Source organism: Homo sapiens, chromosome 11, assembly GCF_000001405.40.
Source record: "Homo sapiens chromosome 11, GRCh38.p14 Primary Assembly".
In the NCBI taxonomy this organism is placed as follows: Eukaryota; Metazoa; Chordata; class Mammalia; order Primates; family Hominidae; genus Homo; species Homo sapiens.
In genome coordinates this window covers 97,563,608-97,586,288 of record NC_000011.10, presented here as the reverse complement: position 1 = coordinate 97,586,288, position 22,681 = coordinate 97,563,608, and the positions used below count along the sequence as shown (strand labels likewise).

The window sequence follows — 22,681 nt, the reverse complement described above, 5'->3', positions numbered from 1 at the left end:
CCCAAAATGTTGGGATTATAGGTGTGAGACACCATGCTTAATTCATTAAGAGACAAATTTACATCAATAATTCTGTATGGATATCACTGTATATAATTTCATCTTGATATGATCTAAGAGACAAGGGAGAGGGATTGGAATTCAGTGGTTGTTTTTATTAGAAGTTCTTAAAACTGTGTGCCCTTGAAAAATATGTTGAAGTCTTAAGTCATAGGTATCTCTGGTGCCTTTGAATGTGACTTTACTTGGAAATAAAGTCTCTGAAGATGTATTCAAGTTAAAATGGGATCATTAGGGTGAGTCCTAATTCAATATAACTGGCATCATAAGAAGGATTTTTGGACGGAGAGACAAACACGCAGGAAGAATATCACATAACAGAGGCAGAAATCGAAGAGGTGCACCTGGTTATTAGGCTGTTTTGTATAGCTATAAAGAAATACCTGAGGCTGGATAATTAATAAAGAGGTTTAATTGGCTCACAGTTATTCAGGCTGGACAGGAAGCATGCTGCTGGCATCTGCTTAGCTTCTGGTGAGGCCTCAGGGAGCTCTTACTCATGGCTGAAGGTAAAGCAGGAACAGGCACATCACATGGTGATAGTAGAAGTGAGAGACTGGAGGAAGGGGGTCCCAGGCTTTTCAACAACCAGATCTTGTGTGAACTAACTGAGTGAGTTATCACTTATCATGGGATGGTGCTAAACCATTGATGAGGGATCTACCACCATGATCTAATCACCTCCCACCAGGCCCCAGCTCCAATATTGGAAATCACATTTCAACATGAAATTTGGAGGGGACAAACATCCAAACTATATCAAGTGGCAAGCCAAAGGATGCCAAGGACTGACAGCCTCCACCACAAGCTAGAAAGGGAAGGAAGGGTTGTTCCTTACAGGTTTCAGAGGAAGCATGGCACCACTGACATGATGATTTCAATCTTTTAGTTTCCAGAACTGTAAGATAATAAATTTGTGTTGTTTTAAGCCACCTAGTTTTTGGTTGCTTAAATTTTATTAGGACACCACTAGGTAAATAATACGGAAGTCAAAACCACTTCTCATTAGAAAAAGGAGAGTTAAGTTTATATGGGTCCTGATTGGTTAGCAGAGTTGGTGGTATCAAAATATCTCTTGTAATACTTTTGATGCCTCAGTAAATTAAGAAGCAACCTAAAACAGCAAATAAGTAAAAGAAAGGTTTGAGTAGAGAAGACAAGGTGAGGTATAGTCAACTTAGAAAGTGTGTAATTAAATGGGAAATTAAGTGGGAAATAAAATAAGATCACTAACAGTGTTGTGAGACCAAATGTAACTTGTGGTAAACTATTTGAGGTGGAATATATGTGCTTGGTTTCATATTTTACTTTTTTAGGCATGCTTAGCTACTTTGAATCAGGGATAAAAATCTGTTGGGGGAGAACAAGGAGAGTTGGTCTAAGCCACTGTGTATATTCAAGGATGTGATAATAGTCACAGACCCATCTGGTCAGGATAGAAGAACAATTGAAAATGTTAATATGGCGGAGTCAATTGGTAGGTGGCCTCAGTTGGGATTCAAAATTGTTAGAGAGGTTATTTAGAATATGTGAGCAGGAAGTGAGAAATTTGGTTGAAGGTGGATGCCTGAAGTTAATATTAAGAGGCTGTGCATTAGTTAGTATTAAACTAAGAAGCTTCACAAATGTTTTCTATTCAGGGCACAGATACAAAATAAAAACATGTACATGGGCAAGCTGAGGTAAACAGAGTTCCTCTCATTCAGGGCCAGCAAGGCAGCAGACTCAGACCCTCATAGTCCCCACATAGCTGTCCTTGTGACTGAAGTGATTATCTGGAATACACCTGTATTTTAATAATGGCAGCAATGCGTATCACAGCAAGATGATGAGAGACTCTGGCCTAACCTAAGACCATAGATGACTATGGTGGCTAAGGTGAAGGAGGTGTAAATTCTGTTGGCATGTGGTAAAGCAACTGAGAGTTTAGAGCATCGGATGGATCCGCTAAATGGATGCTGAAATATGAGGACTGATGCTCTAAATAGTGATGGCAATGAAGATGGTGAAGGTGTTAAAATCTTCAACTAAAGAGGCAAGTAATCTTGGATTTGATAGTCTGGAAAGTACTGAGACAGACAGGGAAAACTGGGCAGGAGAAACTCCTCCCCATTTTTCCTTGTGTGCACTTGACTGTGCTAGCTGTGTTCAGCCTTGCAGCCTGGCTAAGGGAGGAGACCACCCCTCATATTGTCTTATACCCAATTTCTGCCTCCGAAGTAAAAACTAAAAGGCAGAAATGAAATCCACAAGCAGACAGCCCGGTGCCACACCCTGGGCCTGGTAGTTAAAGATCGACCCCTGACCTAATCGGTTATTTGCATAAGAAAAGCACTGTGAAGATCCGTGTCCTGTTCTGCTCCATTTGAATTAGCCATGCATGCAGCCCCCAGTCACATACCCCCTGCTTGCTCAATTGATCAGGACCTTCTCACGTGGACCCCCTTAGAGTTGTGAGCCCTTAAAAGGGACAGGAATTGCTCACTTGGAGAGCTCGGTTGTTGGACACGTGAGTCTTGCCTTAGCTCCTGGCCAAACAAAGCCCTTCCTTCTTTAACTCTGAAGGGTTTTGTCTGCGGCTTGTCCTGCTACATGGCAACCATGAACACTTTCTTTCACAAAGTGAACCAACACAGAACAGAAGGGAACAGAGTACTCTGACCATAAACACCCTGGTTAACAAGTGCAGGCACTTTCCAAAAGACCCTCCCCAAATGTGCATGCCCAGTAATGTCCTATCCTGACCTTTGCTTCATTTTAATAGTAAAAATCACACTCCTAAGTGGAGATTTAAGATGCTAATGAGACCAGCATCACATGAAGAAGCATAAGGAGAAACTGCACAGGTGAAATTCACAGACCACCCCAAATATGCAATGATGTCACCCAGAGGAGGTCCAAAGGAAATAAAACCTCAGAATAATGACTAACTTGCTTTCTGAAGCAAGTCTTTTCCTTTTCCTGTTTCCCTTTCTGCTGGAGCTGAAAGTCCCAATAAACTGCCTTGCTCAAACCCATCTCAGACTCTTAGTTTGTTTCTATTTACCAAGGGTCAACAACCCACCAGCCAGTAACAGTACAAGTGGTATAGCTAACAGCATTTGCTTTAAAGGAGCTCAGGATTTTAGAGATGTGACAGGAGCTACAGTCTGGAATTTCTAAGAAGCAGCAAGAAGCAAACCTACCTCAACTGTACTCCCTGCATTGATTGGTATGGGAGAGAAAAATAACAGCTACCACTAAATGATGACTACTTAAGTTAAAATCAGGAGAGTTTGAAAAGTTTTATTTAGAGTCCAAAAAAATAAGCAAACATTGAAGTTATAGAGTATTTTGCTTAACAAATAGAATGAATTTTCATAAAGAATAACATGAGGCTTTTGTTATTGGTGACAACTGGTATTTATTAAGATGTAAGGCATGATGAACTGCTAGAGACATCTGATTATTCTAATTAAAGCTACCTTCTTGGGACTAGTGTTTTGGGCAGTTTTTGGTGATAAGTTGGGTATAATTGAGGCTGTGGTTTGTTTTACCTGTATGTAGTCTTACCATATTTAGCCAACAACAATATAAAATATTCAATTAAATTTGAGTTACATATAAACAACAAAAATTTTTTTTATATAAGGAGAGCTCAAATATTTCATGGGATCTACTTAAAATATTTTTGTTATTTATAATAAATTCAAAGTTAACTGTGTTAACTATATTTTATCTAGCAAACTCATCTATATAGCACATCAGTATGCATACCTTTTCTATGCTGTGGGTGGAAAAGTGATTTTAGAAAGTAAAATGTTAACTTGTGCAGTATTTACTGTATGGACCTAGGAAAAGTCAAATAAACAATTATTTCAGAAGTGACTGCTAACCATATCTAGAGATCCAGGCTTCAAAGAAAATAATAGTTTCTGAATGGTTGCATTGTCTTTTGATTTGCTGAATTATTTGCTGTCTTTATTTTGCCTTCACTTTTGAAAGACAATTTTGATGAATATAAAATTCTAGGTTGCATTTTTTTTCTTTCTTTCAACAACATTTATTTCACTTTACTTTCTTCATCTTTGCATGGTTTTTGATGAGAAAACTTCTGCAATTTTTATTGCTTGTTACTGTTTGGGTAAGATGTTTTCTCTATCTCCTTCCATCCTAGTCATGCTTCTTTCAGGATTCTGTTTGCATTTGGTTTTATGCAATTTGAGTGTGCTATGCCTTCATGTAGATTTTTTTTGGTGTTCATTCTCCTTGGTGTACTTCCTGGATCTGTAGTTTACTATCTGTTATTAATTTTGAAAAATTCTTAACTATTATTACAATTTTTTTTTTCTGTTCCATTCTCTTTCTTCTTCTGATATTTCAATTACATGTATTTATATCTTTTGAAATTGTTCCATGGTTATTGGATTGTCTGTTTTCATGTTGTTTTGCATTTTTCGTTACTTTTTATGCTTGCATTTCAGTATTGGAAATTTCTATTGGCATATCTTTAGCTCACTGATTCATTTTCAGCCATACCCGAGCTATGAATGAGCATCCCAAAAACATTCACTTTGCTTGTTTGTGTTTTTTTCCTAGCATTTTCTTTTGATTAATTCTTAGAGTTTTTATCTTTTGGTTTACATTACACATCTGCTCTTACATGTTGTCTACTTTTTTGAGTAAATATCTTGATAAATCATAGTTATTTCAACATCCTTTCTTATATTCTATAATAACATCTGTGTCATTTTTTAGTCTGGTTCTGTTGTTTGTTTTATGTTCACAATATGCTTTGTCTTACCTTTAGCCTTCCTTGTTTTTGTTTGTTTTGTTTGCCAAAAGCTGGAGATGATATACCAGGTAGTAGCGACTAAGGGAAAGGCCTATAATCTGAGGATAATTGAAGTTGTCTGAGCTTAGTTGAGGTTAATAGGTTAATAGCCAGGAGGTGAGTTTTGTGTGATGATTGCTGCAGCTACAGGTCTAGTTTCCTTCTTGTTGCCTCTTCTGTTGTCTTCGTCTAAGAACTCTTCCTGAAAAGTCTCCTTTAGCTGCAATCCACTGTCATTATACTAGATCCCTATTGATGTGATACTAAGAAGTGAGGGAGGAAAGGCTTTTATAATCTTATAATTAAATCAAGTTATTTTAATGTTTTTGCTCCTGGGCTATCCTGAGCCCTTCACAAATGGTTCCAATCTTCTACCCACTCGTCATTAACAAGAGACAGGAGGCTCTAGAGTAGCTATCTGTGGATAAATGCCCTTCCCTCCAGGTGTGATAAGACTCTCTGAAAGTCTTATCACCTGGAGAGTAAATCTTTGTTAAGAGGAAGCCTCTAGATGTATTTCAAAATGGCTCCTTTTCCTCTCACCTTGCTAGAGCCTTGCTAGAGCCCAGCTAGAATCGTTTTTGGCCCTTTACTGTGAGAACTTTGTGGGATTCTTGGAGGTAAAACCCACAAAAGTGTGGAGGCCCCCTTAAAACTGTGATTCATGGAGTTTCATGCCTCATACTCACCCTCTGGCATTTCAAGTATTCCTACCAATTAATGGCTCTGGTGGCTTTTGCTCCAGGTAAATAACACCTCCACTGATTCCTTGAATGCTCCGGCCTCTTGCAGTGACAGTTTGCCCTGAGAACTCAATTCTCTGGTGAGTACAAGAAAAATTGTTTATTTCCATTATGTCTAGCTTTGTGGTTGTAAGGGTGGGAATGATGAATATAAAGTTTTTTCTTTATATGTCAAATCTGAAATTACCTTTTGAAACAGCATGAGATTATTGCCTAGTCATGCTATCAGATATGGGGTCTTTGGCTAATGGAAATTTCTTGGAAATAGAAGAACTAGGCAAATGCTTTCAAACATATTACGCATTGTTCTTATATGCACATTGGGCAATAGAAATGACCAAATACATCAGCAGATTAATGGGGGTTTTCTCTGGGAGGCTGAATTTCTAGGTGATTTTATAGGTTTTATAAAAAGTGTTATGTTTTATATATCATATACAATAACTTTTCACGATAGGAAATGCTATGTTTTATAAAATAAGTATAAACTTTATAGAATAAGTTTTGCCTTGGTAAGCACAGAATACTGGGAAGAATGGGAAAGTAGGAAATTTTTAGGTTCTCAATAACACTTTTTAGAATGTGAATGATGAGGTTACATTACTGCAATTTTAAAAAATAATGTAGTGTAAATATAATAAGTTGAAAGTGTAGAGAAGGAAAAAATGGCTTTTACTCTTCTAGGTCCTTTGGGCTATGAATTGACAGAAAACAGATTAACAGTAGAAAAACCATTTAAGTTGTGTACATATGCACAGGAGTCCCACAGATATATGAGACTCAAGAAGGGACAGATGATTAGAGCTTACATAGCATCTTGAGCTACAGAAAGGAAGAGGGGCTTGGGGTTTCTGGGGGGATGGTGGAGACAAATTATGAGAGTATTAGAGGAGCAAATGTATTGAAGTAATTTGTTGCTTTGCTATGAAGATAAAATCTCTCAAGTGACAAATGTTATCTCTAAGCAACTCTCTTGTAGATATTTTCACTAGGAAAAACCTTTCCTTTATTGATGGACGTTTTATTTACAAAATGGAAGCTTTTCAGAGCCACCTCTGTGTCTGCAGTTTCTTAATCAGCTTGAAATAATATGTCAAAGAGAAATATTTTGGGGTGGCCTATTCTGGTCTCCTACAGTCATATTTTGGGGTAGTATGCCCTGAGCCCCAACAAAAGTTTGTCTTAGGACAAATTCCTTCCAATGGGGTGTGTGTGTGTGTGTGTGTGTGTGTGTGTGTGTGTGTGTGTGTGTGTGTGTGTGTGTTATAGGCATCTGGATGCATATTGTATTTGACTCTTTTTAAAAAGTAGCACCTTGTGATGTGGATTCAGTTATGAAAACTGAAAAAAAAAAAAAGATGTAGTGGTAGGTTTTACAAAAGCTGTGTGACCAAGTTCCCTCAAAATAGCTGGATATGGTAGAAAAAACATGAGTTTTTATTTACAGTGACCCAGGTTTACATCCCAATTGCCACTTGTTAACTGTCTAATTTTAAAAGTTACCTCTCTCTATTCATTATTCTTCCTCCTTAATTGGGATAGTGATGATAATTTCTTCCTCTCTTCATACTTCCATATGTCATTTCTTTCCAATCATTTATCCTTGGTGTTGCTCCAAATATATTATGAAAATAAAGCCTTAATGATTCAAGATCTTCAAATTCATCTGTCAGATATACAGAGTATTTTGCAGTTTAGCTATTTCTTGTACCTCTGCAGCTTTTTTCTATTGCTCCTTCATCTTGAAACTCCCAAAATCACCACCTGAGAAAGTGTTGTCTTTTGTAGCCATAACTTTCTCTCTAAGCTTGCCCTAAAATATTTGTCCATCAGTGTTCTACTATCCTGTCAGATCTATCCATGCAACTTCTTTAAGAATCACTTCTAGGCCATTGTTTTTTCTATATTTGTTGCTATTTATTAGATCAAGACAGTATGCCTTGAAACACTGTCTACAACATTGACTAGTTTGAGACCCTAGAATTTAGAAATTATGACACATACAAAGCCATATTTGTGTCACTTGCGGTGTTTGGTCAACTGATTTGTCCATAGTAAATCCTCAAGATACAGTTTTTCTTGGGTAAACTTTGCATCGATTTAATCATTGCCCTTAAAGTAGGATAAATTGTTCTCAAATTAAATCTCATTCCACAGCTGATCTCCCTAAACTCACTGGGGACTACTTGCTTCACCACTGACAAGGCAGAAAAAAAAGAACTTATTAAATGCATTTGGTCAAGTTAGTTAAAGTTGTTTTGGCCCAAGCAGTCTATAGTTTTTGTTCTCAAATATGTGGCTCAGCCTGACCTATGTCCAGGGATTTTTAAATGGAAATTCTCAAAATAATACTGAGCTATTATTCCAAGTTCTCAGGGAATCGAAAATATTGATGTTACACTAAGCAATTATGTATGTCATGGAGAGGTCTTTTATTAGAACATGACTGGCACTTTGATTACCTGAGCTTTCTCAACTGGCTTGAGCTTTAAAATATTAGTTTAATATGTTTTCTGTGTTTATTTGCCATTTTTTCTGACATTAATAACAACTTATAATATTCACATAAGTATGTTAAATCTTGCTTTAATATATAATATAGTGTAGCACATTCAGTAGGGGCCAATAATCCTTTGACTGAAGCTGGAATTCAGAAGCATCAATATTGTATATGTGAACTCTCCTCTTACCTTTCCCAGATCAGAAATAAATTTATATGTACATTTATATAAATATGAATGCTCATATTTCCTCTGCTGCATTCACTTGTGTCAATTTTATTTTTACCATGAAGATAGACAACTAAATGAATCTATTTCCTTGAATGACTCAAATATAGACATTTTGTTAAAAGACAGACATGTATTTTCTTGACATCCAGACCAGATCACACCTCAAATTACCCAAAGCCCATTCATTTAGTTTTCCTGTCTTTACTTTTACCTCTAGGACCTGCAGTAGATATATGAATGACGTAAGTATTGCTTTCCAAGTCTTTCTGAACAATTGACTATGAATGACATAAACCAATCATTTGAATTCTTTATTTAGTATTAATATTTGCTTCTTCAAGCTTTTTCTATAATTACATCCAGATAATAAGTACTATATTTCTTCTCAAGAAGACTTAAAAATGGTTAATACCATGTCTCAGCTACATGGAGAGCTTCAGGAAAAAATAATTCACATTATAGTGTATTAAATATGTGGCTTCTTCTCTAAAATGAGGATTAAAAACTGGATAGTGGAAATAGCCTTTTGATGGGATATGAACTGGGTACACAGGTATGAGGGAAAAGGAAAAGTAGAACCAACATACATTTAGTGACAAAATTGGGCTATGGAAGAGGCAAGACTAATCACAGCCTGTAAGATGTCACCTACACTCAAAATTATTTTGTAATATCAATTTTCCATCATTTACAATATATTCCCCATTTTAAACTACTTAAGGATTCCCTTTGAAAAATCCATTATTAGATATCAGCAATGATCTATAATACGGTTTGAAGAAGAACACTTAGAAAAGAATGTTGATACTTGTTATGATGATAAAATATTAATACTAATTAATATTTGTACTTATCAGGAACATTCCTACAGATTATATACTTTAAGCATTATGTCCTCTTTGAATATATTCATATAATTTGTGTTATGTTAAAACCGTTAAGAATAGAAAAATGTTCCCTTGAAGTGTGTGGATTAAAAGGGCTTGAAAGACAGACCTAGAATATTCTGGTGAAATTATTGGACTCCAAAGCTAATACAAACTATTATAAGGGTCCAAATAGAAGGAAAAGCTGCTTAAAAAAGTGATCTTATAAACATCTCACTTCTCACCTGAAATCTTGAATACCAAAATCACTAGAAAGCTATATGCATGCCAATGAGAGAAAGGGTAAAAACTCTATACCCACCAAGATATCATTGATACCTCAAAGTAAGTAAAATACATTTTAAGGAATGTAAGAATTTATATAAATTATTTACAAATGTGAGAAGGACTGTTTATTATGAGTATTAATTCCCTGAAGTTTCAAGTATTGTAGAAAGTAAAAGTCATAACATGAAAGTATTCACCAGGTAAATGAATCATGTACAAACTTAATCACATCATTTTTCAAGTAATTTGTAATTTTGTGAGTTGAATAGCTATGTTTATAAAATATAAGTATTGCAAATTTTAATGTGTTTATATATTTATATTTAATTTATATATATAATAACCTGATTCCTCATTTATATTTAGAGAAGGTAAACAGCAGCTTGTTATCACTGATTTCTTTAAATAGAAGCAAGCCAACTGTAGTTGGGAAAATTGAAAATTTTAAATGTATGAAATATTTAAAACACACACACACACACACACACATATATATATATACACACACAAGTACATATACATACATTTCAGGAATATAGTACCAATGGCAAACATAGAGGAAAAAACATTACTAATAAGTAGAAATGTTTTCTCTGTGCAGCGTTTTCCCCTCTCCTGCCTACAGGCAATGGTATACCTGAAGGTAGTTTCTATCATCAGGTGTCTTTTTAAAAAATAGTTTATAGTTTTGTGTCTCAGAAGATATACAGTATGGCATCACATATTTTGAAAGTTTTTATAAATGGTAGCATGATATACACATACATGTCTAAAATTTATGGTATTACAACTGAGAAGGCAATTACAAGTTTCAGGGTATTAACATCTTTTTTACTAAATATTGTCAAATCACTTTTGTGGCCTCTTTTTTCTTAGTGGTTTATGTGAGTATTTTTTAAGACTTGCCATTAATGCTCTCCGTGTATATTTGGAAAAGATCTACCTCTTAGTGTACAAAGTACCATTTGTATTTGAAGAAAACTTTTTAACATCAATATAGTGAAATTTGTTCAAATGATATGCCTGGAAAGTGTACTGGACTGTACAATTTTTAAAATCTTCCTTGCTTTTCAGTACTTTGATGATATTGTTCCATTGTCTTCTGGCTTTCCTTGGTACTGTTGTAAAGTTTACTTTCAGTTGTAGTAGTTTCTTTGTAAGCAGTCTTTTCTTTTTTACATTTAATATCTTCTGTTTTTGTTTTTTGAGATGGGATCTCATTCTGTCACCCAGGCTGGAGTGCAGTGGAGCGATTATGACTCACTGCAGCTTCGAACTCCTGGGCTCAAGCGATCCTCCAGCCTTAGCCTCCAGAGGAGCTGGGACTACAGGTGTGTGACACCAAGCCTAGCTAATTTGTGTAATTTTTCATAGAGATGGGGATCTCCCCATGTTGCCTAGGCTGGTCTTGAACTCCTGGTTTCAAATAATCCTCCTGTCTTGGTCTCCAAAAATGCTGGGATTATAGGCATGAGCCACCTCACCAGACCCTCTTTACATTTTTTATAGTCTGCCTTTATAATGCTTAGGCATGGGCTTTTTATTTATACCAGAGTTCTACCAAGCCAGAATGGCTTCAGGTTAACTGGGGGTGGCAGTAGCTTGTGGTTTCTGAATCATTTAAGTGGTATATATATAACTTCAAATGAATGTGAGGGAAGACCTGTGGTTAACAAATCTGAGAAGCTGCATCTTACCATTTAAAAGAAAGGTACATCATCTGAGTTCCTCATTTGCCTTTGTTTGTTTAGGAATGATTTATTTTAGTACATCCTTTCAATGATGGCAAATATATTTGTGGTTCTTAGCTTTATGTTCCACTTTTCTCTCCATCTTTCATTATTGATTCTTTTACTTCTTTGACTTTTGTGGCTGCTACCAATCCTGTATAGTAGAGAAATTTGTAAATTTGCCCATTACTCCAGTGTAACATGATAATTTTATCCTTCCTCATCAATTTTTGTCCCTTTTCTTGAACCAAAATTATGGTGTTAGTATGTTATATTTTACTAGGTACTTCTATGAGTTTCATAGTAAGATTGTTCACATAATTGCATTTTGTTTGGACATGTAATTTTTGTATTTATATCCATGCACTTATTTTTTAATTAAAATTTTATTGTGATAATTGTAGAGTCACATGAATTGTAAGAAATAATACCAACAGATCTTGAAAAACCTTACCCAGTTTTCACCAATAGTAATAATTGTAAAAACTATGATTCAATATCACAATTAGGATGTTGATAGTAATACAAACCAACATTAAGGTTTCAATATCCCTGTTTTACTTGTGCTCATGTGTACAGTATTAGCGTGTGTTTAATTCTACACAATTGTGTCACTATCGGTGGAACCAGCCCCAAATATTTCAATGTAGGTTCTTTTCTATTTTTCCCTAAGTGTCGGCCGGTCTGAGAAATAAAGGGAAAGAGTACACAAGAGAGAAATTTTAAAGCTGGGTGTCTGGCCAGGCACGGTGGCTCATGCCTGTAATCCCAGCACTTTGGGAGGCCGAGGCAGGCGGATCACAAGGTCAGGAGATCAAGACCATCCTGGCTAACAAAGTGAAACTCCGTCTCTACTAAAAAAAAAAAGCTGGGTGTCTGGGGTAGACATCACATGTCAGCAGGTTCCATGATGCCCCCTGAGCCGCAAAACCAGCAAGTTTTTATGAGCGATTTTCAAAGAGGAGGGAGTGTACGAATAGGGTGTGGTTCACAGAGATCACCTGCTTCAAAGGCAATAAAATATCACAAGGCAAATGGGCAGGGCAAGGTCACAAGGCCAGGGTGAAACTAGAATTGCTGATGAAGTTTCATGTACCACTGTGCAAGCGCTGTCATTGATAAACATCTTAACAGGAAATAGGGTTCAAGAGCAGAGAACTGGTCTGACTAGAATTTGCCAGGTTGGAATTTCCTAATCCTAGCAAGCCTGAGGGCGCTGCAGGAGACCAGGGCATGTTTCTTCTGCATAAAGCAGACACTCCCAGAGCGGCCATTTTAGAGCCCCCCGCTCACCCCACCCCGGGAGTGCATTCTTTTCCCAGGGCTGTTAATTATTAATATTCCTTACTGGGGAAAGAATTCAGCGATATTTCTCTTACCCATTTTTGGTAATAAGAGAAATACTACTCTGTCCTGCCTGGCTCCCAGGCAGTCAGAACTAATGGTTATCTCCCTTGTTCCCTGAACATCGCTGTTATCCTGTTTTTTTTTCAAGGTGCCCAGATTTCATATTGTTAAAAAACACGTGCTTTATGAACAATTTGTGCAGTTAACACTATCATCACAGGGCCCTGAGGAGATGTACATCCTCAGCTTACGAAGATGACGGGATTAAGAGATTAAAGATGGGCATAGGAAATTATCAGAGTATTGATTGGGGAAGTGATAAATGTCCATGAAATCTTCACAATTTATGTTCTTCTGTTGTGGCTTCAGCTGGCCCCTCCATTCGGGTTCCCTGACTTCCCACAACATGTCACTTGTATAGATTCATATATACATTATCATATTCAAGATATAGAACAGTTTCATCATCACACTGATCCTTCTTTTTGTCCTTTTATAACCACACCTGACTCTCCCAATTCTTTTCCCTTTCTCTCCTTCACTCATCTTTAACCCCTGTATACCACTTTTCTGTCCTTCATTTCTAAATGTAGCTTGTCTTTCCATCCTCTTTACCTGGTCTTATGTATAGAAAGGTGTTTGTGTCTAAGAAGTACAGTTCATCAATTATTTCTCTTATGAACTGTTTTTGGTATCAGTTCTTAGAATTTTATTTATTTCTAATCCAAAACAATTCCTCCTACATTTTTGTTTCACATTTGATCTAAGAGTTAATTTTTTAATAAAGCATGAAATTTCTATTGAGGAAATTTTCAAAATTTTTTTTTGCGTATGCATGTCCAATTGCTCTACTACCATTTGAAAAGACTAACTTTGTTTCAAATTGCTTTTGCACATTGATATAAAAAGTCACTTGAATGTGTTCATGTGTGTCTATTTGAGTTTTCTATTCTTTTCACCTATGTGTCTATCCTGCCCAAACCACACTTTCTTGATTATGCTTACTTAGGTATTTAGTAAGTCTGAAAAATAGGTAGAGAAAAATCTTACCATCTTCCGTGTCAATATTTTCTCTTTTTTTACCCCTTAAATTCTAGGCTCTGTGCCATTCTTGATAAATTTTAGAAGACTGTCTATGTCCACAAATATGCTAGAATTTTAATAGAAATTGAATTAGGCTTGTAGAATTCTTTGGGGGCAATTCACATCTTTATTATATGAGTCTTTCAATCAATGAACAAAATGTATCCATTCATTTTAGTGTCTGAGTTGCTTCATCGGAATTTTATAAAATTTAGTATACAGGTCTTGCAAATATTTTATTAAATACATAACATATACTTTGTCAAGCATTCCATTTCCTTTGGAGTGATTATAAATTGTATTGTGTTTTTAGTTTGGACTTCTGCATATTCATTGTTCCTATGTAAAATTATAAACAACATTGATTTTTGTGGGTTGATGAGTCTTTGCATTGTTAAACTCATCAGCTTTTTAAATCTAAATTTCTTTGAATTTTATTTATAGAATATCATAATATATGCATATATTATGCATACAACTATCATATATGTGTACACTATGCATACAATTATAATGTATGCACCTAATGAGACCCACCCATTAACTTTGTAGTACACATCCCCTGAGGACTCTTGCATCTAGCCCATGAACACCTATAGAACTCCTCCCATCCTATTCCCATGTAGCTACCACCCTGGGTATGCTCTGTACAAGCAGTTCACACAAGCCTCCACAGGTCATGTATTAGCACACACACAGACAGGTAGACTCTGCTGGATTGGGAGAAGCAGCTTAACATTGAGTGCTTCAGGACACTGCACTAGGGAAAATTAATGGGAGGCTCTTAGCACTCAGCCTGACCTTGAGGGAAAAAGCATACAATCCTAACAGTCTTTACCCCACCCCACTTTCCCAAGAGAAAACAGGAGGAGTGGAGCAGGTACATTCCTAAAAAAAGAAAAATCTGAGATACTCTTAGAACCCACAGGCAGGCCTACTGGTGAATGCCTTTCTTTTCTGAAGCCAGCAAGCGATGACTGGAGGAGATGGATGACTGCTTCTTCAAACACACAAAAAATCAAGGAAAAATGTCACCACCAAAGAAACAATTTTCCATAATTGAAAACATTATTGCTATAATTATTATCTTGAAACAACTATTATCTGCTAGATCAATTAGCAGTAAGAAAAACATTTCCTTACCTTTTCTTTTCTCCAGTGCTCTTCTTTTCTTTATGTTGATCTGAATTTCTGACCTTTATAAAATTCTTTCTCTATGAAGAACTTTTTTGAGACAGAGTGTCTCTCTGTTGCCCAGGCTGGAGTGCAGTGGCGCGATCTTGGCCCACCACAACCTCTGCCTCCCAGGTTGAAGTGATTCTCCTGCCTCAGCCTCCTGAGTAGCTAGGACTACAGGCATGAGACACCATGCCCAGCTAATTTTTGTATTTTTAGTGGACACGGGGTTTCACTATTTTGGCCAGGCTGGTCTCGAACTCCTGACCTCGTAATCTACCTGCCTTGGCCTCCCAAAGTGCTGGGATTACAGGCGTGAGCCACTGCGCCTGGCCTCTCTGAAGAACTTTTAACATTTCCTGAAAAATAGGTCAACTAGCAAGAGATTCTCAATTTTTGTTTGAGAAAGTTTTTATTTCTCTCACTTTCGAAGGATAATTTTGCAGGGTACAGAACTCATGATTGGTGGTTGATAGGGTTTTGCTCTGTGTCCCCATCCAAATCTCCTCTCAAATTGTAATCCCCATGTGTTGAGGGAGGGACCTAGTGGGTGGTAATTGGATCACGGGTGTGGTTTCCCCCATAGTATTCTCATGATAATGAAGGAGCTCTTAGGAGATCTGAGGGTTTTAAGACTGGCAGGTTTTCTCTGTGGGCACTCTCTCTCTCCTGCTGCCATGTAAAATTGCCTTGCTTCCTGTTTCCTTCCTCCATAATTGTAAGTTTCCTGAGGCCTCGCCAGCCATGCAGAACTGTGAGTCAATCAAATCTCTTTTGTTTATAAATTACCCAGTGTGAGAACTGAGTAACACAGAGAATTACTACTGGCAGAGTTGGGTACTACTATAAAAATAACCTGAAAATGTGGAATCAACTTTGGAACTGGGTAACAGGTAGAGGTTTGAATAGTTTGGAAGGCTCAGAAGAAGACAGGAAGATGTGCAGAAGTTTAGAACTTCCTAAAGCCTTGTTGAATGAAAGGTTTTGACCAACATGCTGATAGTGATATGGAAAATGAAGTCCAGACTGAGGTAGTCTCAGATGGAGATGAGGAACTTATTGGAAACTTGAGCAAGTTCACTCTTGCTATACTTTGGCAAGGAGACCGGTGGCATTTTGCCTCTGCTCTAGAGATCTATGGAGCTTTGAACTTGAGAGAGATGATTTAGGGTATCTGGTAGAAGAAATTTCTAAGCAGCAAAGCATTCAAGAGGTGACCTCATTTGTACTAAAAGCACGCAGTTTTATGCAGTCATAAAGAGATGATATGAAATTGGAATGTATGTTTAAAGGGGAAGGAGAGTGTAAAAATTTGGAACATTTACAGCCTGTCCATGTAAAAGGAAAAACCCATTTTTTGGGGAGGAATTCAAGGCTGCTGCAGAAATTTGCATAAGTAACAAGGAGCCAAATATTAATCACCGAGACAATGAGGAAAATGTCTTCAGGGAATGTCGGAGATCTTTGTGGCAACCCCTCTGTTCACTGGCCTGGAGACCAAGGAGGAAAAAATGGCTTCATGAGCTGGGCTGAGGGCCTTGCTGCTCTGTGCAGCCCTGGGATATGGCACCCTGCATCCCAGCCGCTCTAATTCCAGCCATGGCTAAAAAGGGCCAAGGTATAGCTTGGGCCATTGCTTCAGAGGGTGTAAGCCCCAAGCATTGGTGGCTTCTATGTGGTGGTGGGCCTCTGGGTGGGCAGAAGAAATGGGTTGAAGAACCTCTGCTAGGGCAGTGCAGAAGGGACATGTGGGGTTGGAGTCCTCCAACATAGTTCCCACTAGGGCACTGCCTATTGGAGCTGTGAGAAGATGGCCACTGTCCTCCAGACTGCAGAAAGACAGATCCATTGACACGGCTTGCACCATATACCTGGAAAAGCCACAGAAACTCAATGCCAGCCCATGAAAGCCACCAGGGGTGATGTACCCTGAAGAGCCATAGGGGCAGAGCTTCCCAAGGCAGTGGGAGCCCTGGATGGCAGACATGGAGTCAAAGGAGATTTCAGAGCTTCAAGATGTAATGACTGCCCGGCTGGGTTTCAGACTTGCATGGGACCTGGGGCCCCTTTGTTTTGGCCAATTTCTCCTATTTAGAATGGGAATGTTTACCCAGTGTCTGTACCCCCATTGTATCTTGGAAGTAACTAACTTGCTTTTGGTTTTACAGGTCCATAGGCATAAGGGACTTGTCTTAGACGAGACTTTGGACTTGGACTTTTGGGCTGATGCTAGAATGAGTTAAGACTTTGGAGAACTGTTGAGAAGACATGGTTGGTTTTGAAATGTGAAGAGGAGATGTGATTTTGGAGGGGCAAAGGTGGAACGGTAATGGTTTGGCTCTGTGTCCCCACCCAAATCTCATCTCAAATTGTAATCCCCATGTGTTGAGGGCGGGACATGGTCATGGTGGGAGGTGATTGGATCACGGGGGCAGTTTCCCCCGTGCTGTTCTCATGATAGTGAGGGAGCTCTTATGAGATCTGATGGTTTTACTAGTGGCAGTTTTCCCCTGAGTGCTCGATCTTTGTTCTGCCACCATGTAAGACTGCCTTACTTCCCATTCTCCTTACTCCATGATTGTAAATTTCCTGAGGCCTCTGCAGACATATGGAACTGTGAGTCAAACCTCTTTTTTTATAAGTTACCCAGTCTCAGGTAGTATGAACTAATAAAGTGAGTTTTTTTGGTGTATTATTATTATTATTTGAGATGACAGCTTGCTCTGTGGCCCAGGTGGAGTGAAGTTGCATGATCTTGGCTTATTGCATTACTGCAACATCTGCCTCCCAGGCTCAAGTGATCTTCCCACCTTGGCCTTCTGAGTAGCTGGGACTACAGGCATGTGCCACAATGCCAGCTAATTTTTGTACTGTTAGTGGAGATGTGGTTTCGCCATGTTGCCCAGGCTGTTCTCAAACTCCTGGGCCCAAGTGATCGCCTGCCTCAGCCTCACAAAGTGCTGGGATTACAGGTGTGGCAGGCTTTTTCTTTGTTTTTTTTTTTTTTTTTCTTCTCTCTCAACACTATAAATATTTCACTCCATACTTGTCTTCTTGTTGCCATGCTTTCTGAAAAGTCAGATGGAATTCTTATTTTCACTCCTCTGTAGGTAAGGTATTGTTTTCCTCTGGCTTCTTTCAATATATTTTTTTCTTTGTCTTTGATTTTTCTCAAGTTTGAATATGACATACATGCCTGAGTGTAGTTTATTTTTGGCATTTATCTTGCTTGGTGTTCTCTGAGCTTCCTGGGTCTTATGAGGTTTAGGGCATTAATTTGGTGAAATTTTTAGTCATTATTCGTCAAATATTTTTTTTCTTACTGTCTCTTTCTTCTCCTCCTGGTATTCTAATTTTGCACATTTATACCTTTTGTAGTTGTCCCACTGTTATTGACTAATTTTTTTTTGCAGTCTTTTTTTTTCTTTTTTGAAGTTCCTAATGTCATATTTTCAAGCTGAGTCATTCTTTCTTCAGCCATGCATAGTCATAATAAACCCAACAGAGGCTTTTTTTAATATTAGATTATTCTTGGAATTTGCACCTCTTTAGTTATATTATCCAGTTATTCTATATGTTGTCTACTTTGGCTATTAAAGAAGTTAGAATATTTAAGTTTTTTAAAAAACTTAATCTGATGATTCCAATATTTCTATCTTTTTTTTTTTTTTTTTTTTTTTTTTTAAGACAGAGTCTCACTCCATCACCCAGGATGGAGTGCAGTGGCATGATCTAGGCTCAGTGCAACCTCCGTTTCCTGGGTTCAAGTGGTTCTCATGTCTCAGTATCCCAGGTAGCTGGGATTACAGGCAACTGCCATCATGCCTGGCTAATTTTTGTATTTTTTTTTTTTTTTTTTTAATAGAGATGGGGTTTCTCCATGTTGACCAGGTTGGTCTCGAACTCTCAACCTCAAGTGATCAAGACATGTCTCAGTGCTGGGATTACAGGCATGAGCCACTGTACTTGGCCTGCCATATTTGACTGTGGTTCTGATTCTTGTTCAGTCTCTTCAGACTATATTTTTCTGCCTTTTAATATGTCCTGTAGTTTTGGTGTTTGTTGGGGAGGAGGACAGGGAGTCAGAGTGTACTAGAACAAAGGTGGTACGGTATATAGGCCTTTAGTAATGGAGTGTTAAGGTTTAGGGGAAGGGGAAATGTTCTATAGCCCTATGATTAGATCTCTGTCTTTTGATGTGTCTGTGCTCCTGGACTGTGAAGTCATCAGCACTTTTCAGTTATTTTTGCCCCTCCTCCATCACCGCTTAGGCTAGACAGGATGGCTGGAGAGGACTAGCTGGGGTTGAATACTTTATTTCTTCCACATGAAATGCTAGAGCCAGCTGGATTAGGATATTTCTTTTCCTCCAGGTGGATCAGGCTCTGGTTAAATAGTTTCTCCTAAGGTAAGGCCTTGTTAAGAAGAACAGAATGCTCTGGTATATTTCAAAATTATTCATTTTTCCCTCCACATCCTGGGGTCATGAGGGTGTTTTTTTGTTATTGTTGTTGTCGTTATTTTTATTTACCTATTTTTTTTTTGTGATACTCACTGTGAGGACCTGGTAGAACCCCTGAAGGTAAAACTCACAAAAGTACAACACCTCCCATCCTCCATGACTGGGTCCCCTTGGAGTATTTAACTCTCAGCGTGTCAATACTGAGTACTGAGCATCCAGAATTTATCTATTATAGTTCAGGCTTTCTTACCCCAGCACTGGTTCCCATGGAAGTTTTTGATCATACATTTCTGCTCCATGAAGTTGTGATTCTCTGTACCTGCCTGTCTCTCTCTCCAATTTTTGGCACAGTGGTTTGCCCCATGATATCACTTCTTTGACAGATCTAAAAAGAGTTGATGTTTTTTTCAGTTTGATAAGATTTCCTCTTATTTTGAAGATGGAGTAGGCACTTCTAAGCTCCTTACATGTGAGACCATGAAATGGAAGTCTAAGTTTACCTTAAAAAATTATTTTCTTTATGCTGAGTTTATTCCTTTACCCAATCTTAAAGATAGATTTTTCACAGACAAATTGTATTAATTTTTCTTTTTCTGCATCCTTATTTCTTTTTCATTTCTTAAAGACGAGTTTTCTGGTTAAAGAATTCTATGTTGAAAGTTATTTCAGCACACAAAAAATTCTGTACCTCTTTGTTCTGGCCTCCATGATTTAAGGTGGGAAATCTGTCATTCAATTTGATGTTCTCCTGTAGATAATGTGTCATTTCTCTCAGGGACATTTCAAGACTTTTTTGTCTTTGCTTTTCAAAGCAAATTTTGATGTGTCTTGTTTTTTGTTTCCATTTGTGGTTTGCTCAGCTTCTTGAATCTGTAGGTTTGTCTTCTGCCAAATTTGAAAAGTTTTCATCTATTACTTATTTGGATACTTTCTTCTCTCCTAGGATTTTGATGCTGTACATAATTAATCTTTCTTGCAGTTCCATAGTTTCCTGAGGCTTTGTTTTTTTATTTTTAGTCTCTTTTTCAGTGTTGTTTAGATTTTGAAAATTCTATTGATCTATCCTCATGTTAATTATTGCCACTGTAATTTGAGCCCACTGAGCACATTTTAAAATTTATGTTTTTTTAATTCTATGTTATTTGGTTCTTGTTAATAATTTCTATTTCTTTGTTGAAATTTCAATTTTGTTTGGAGATAATTTGAAACTGAAGCATTTTATGATGGCTACCTTAAAATCCTGGTCAGATAATCCCATCATTTGGTTTCATCTTAGTGTTGGTGTCAGTTGATTTTCTTATTCAAGTTGTGATTCCTGGTTCTTACTATAATTTTTAAAAATTGTATCCTGGACATTTCTTCTATAACATAAGAGGTCTCTGGGTTCTATTAAACTATTTAGCAGACAATAACCCTGTTTAGATATAGTATGAAGATTCTGGACTGGTATTGTTACAACATTCTTTTATCTGGGGAAGAATGAAGCTACCTTGGCTGCCTTTTTGTTGTTGTTGTTCTAGGTTGGAGTAAGAAAACACCAGGCCCTCTGTCACCTTCTGCTACTGCTTAGAAAGTAAACATTTAAAATTAAATGTAAACATGTTTAAATTAAACATTTATTTAATGTTTGTAGCAAGTAATTTTTGTGTGACTTCCAGGTACCCAGTACTGCAGTACTGTTTCAGCATGCTAGCATATATAAGCAAGTAAGGTTGATAAAAGAAATATATTTTCATATGAGGCGAAATGGGCTTGGTGCGGTGGCTCATGCCTATAAGCCCAGCAGCAGTTTGGGAGGCCGAGGCGGGCAGATCACTTGAGGGAAGGAATTCAAAACCAGCCTGGCCAATGTGGTGAAACCTCATCTCTACTAAAAATACAGAAAGTTAGCTGGGTGTGGTGGTGCGTGCCTGTAGTCCCAGCTACTTGGGAGGCTGAGACATGAGAATCACTTGAACCAAGGACGTGGAGGCTCCAGTAGGCCAAGATTGCTCCACTGCACTCCAAAGCAAGACTCCATCTCAAAAAAAGGGGATGGGGAGAATATACAGAAAATTGGATAATTTAAGATATTTTCTCAAGTTGACATAACTGGTGTTACCAGAGACATTGCTGAAGTAAAATAATAGTTTTTTTATTACAGAATTACAGTACATGACTAGTGTTGTAGGGAAAAGTGTCAGTGTGTTCAATTGCAGAGTTAAATAGTTTAAAAATATTTGCTCTTAGAAGTGATTCTTAATTTTGTGAAATATCTGTTAACGGTTTATATACTCATCGGGAAGACTACACAAACTAAATTGAACTATCATTCTCAAAAAATTAAACAGATAAAACATCCAAGTGTACTGTCTTGTTATGATACAAAAGTAAGAACTATTAAAATGGAAAATTATCAAGGTCTTCCTATATCTACTAAGGATCATATTATCAAATATATTACTCAATTTTTTCATCTTCTCTGTATTAACTCAATTCTGAAATCAGAATAGCTAATTTGAATGCTAGCTTCAAAGGCTGTCTAATAAATATAAATTTTAGCTTTCTAAGCTCTGTACAATACTTACTACAGAGAAGTTGCTGATAAGAAGAAATATAGTCAGAGAGCCAAATCCACATTTTTTTTAAACCTGAGCAAAGAAGTTAGTTTATTACCTTTTGATGGTTGCTGGCTACTACTGAAATTCAGAAAATAGAATGTATGGATTGCAGTAGAATGGAAGTGATTAATTGAGGCTTTACTAGTTTTGGGTCTTAGATCATACATAACATTTTAGTATGCGACAGCAAGGACATATTCTCATAATGTTTTCTTCATAGAAGAAATACTTTTTATATGCTGAGTTGAATTAAATTTCACTTTAAGTCGAGAAAAGTGAAATAATAATGTTTGTAAATGTAGAAACCAGAATGACCTTTTGCAATAGATAATGGAGAAAACAGTTTAGGGGAAAAAAACCTAAAAATCAGTTCATTAATGTATAAACAATGTGTCAGAGCTCCAAAGGGAGAGGGCTCCACAGATGTGAAGAGGGTCACCATTGAGTCTACAGCTGAGTACTAATTAGTGAAGTAGATAATAAAGCTATATAACGCTGGAGAAAGAGAAAGAAACATCCAGAAGAATTAGAGGAAAGAAATCCCCTGAAGTCCTAAGGGAAAAGGAAAAAATGCTATTCTCACCCAAAATGGCCCAAACCTTCATAAACCACGTAATGTTGAACAAAGTATTTAAAGAGATTTTGGCAAAGTAGTGGCACACACTTATCTCTAGACCAGACACTCCTCTAGTTCTACCAAATAATGGTTAAAAGAAATATGACAAAGAATGTAACTGTTTCCAAGTAACTTAACTGTCTACCAGAATTAAGCACAAAATTA

General features: G+C 37.2%; 1 annotated feature.

Moving 5' to 3' along the window:
* Window positions 11,502-12,701: an enhancer, noted in NCBI's record as "CDK7 strongly-dependent group 2 enhancer chr11:97444588-97445787 (GRCh37/hg19 assembly coordinates)". NCBI's record gives its function as "activates an origin of replication core promoter dependent on BRD2, BRD4, P300/CBP, MED14 and CDK7 cofactors, with strong dependence on CDK7, by STARR-seq in HCT116 cells {active_cell/tissue: HCT116}" and the evidence as "EXISTENCE:reporter gene assay evidence [ECO:0000049][PMID:35650434]".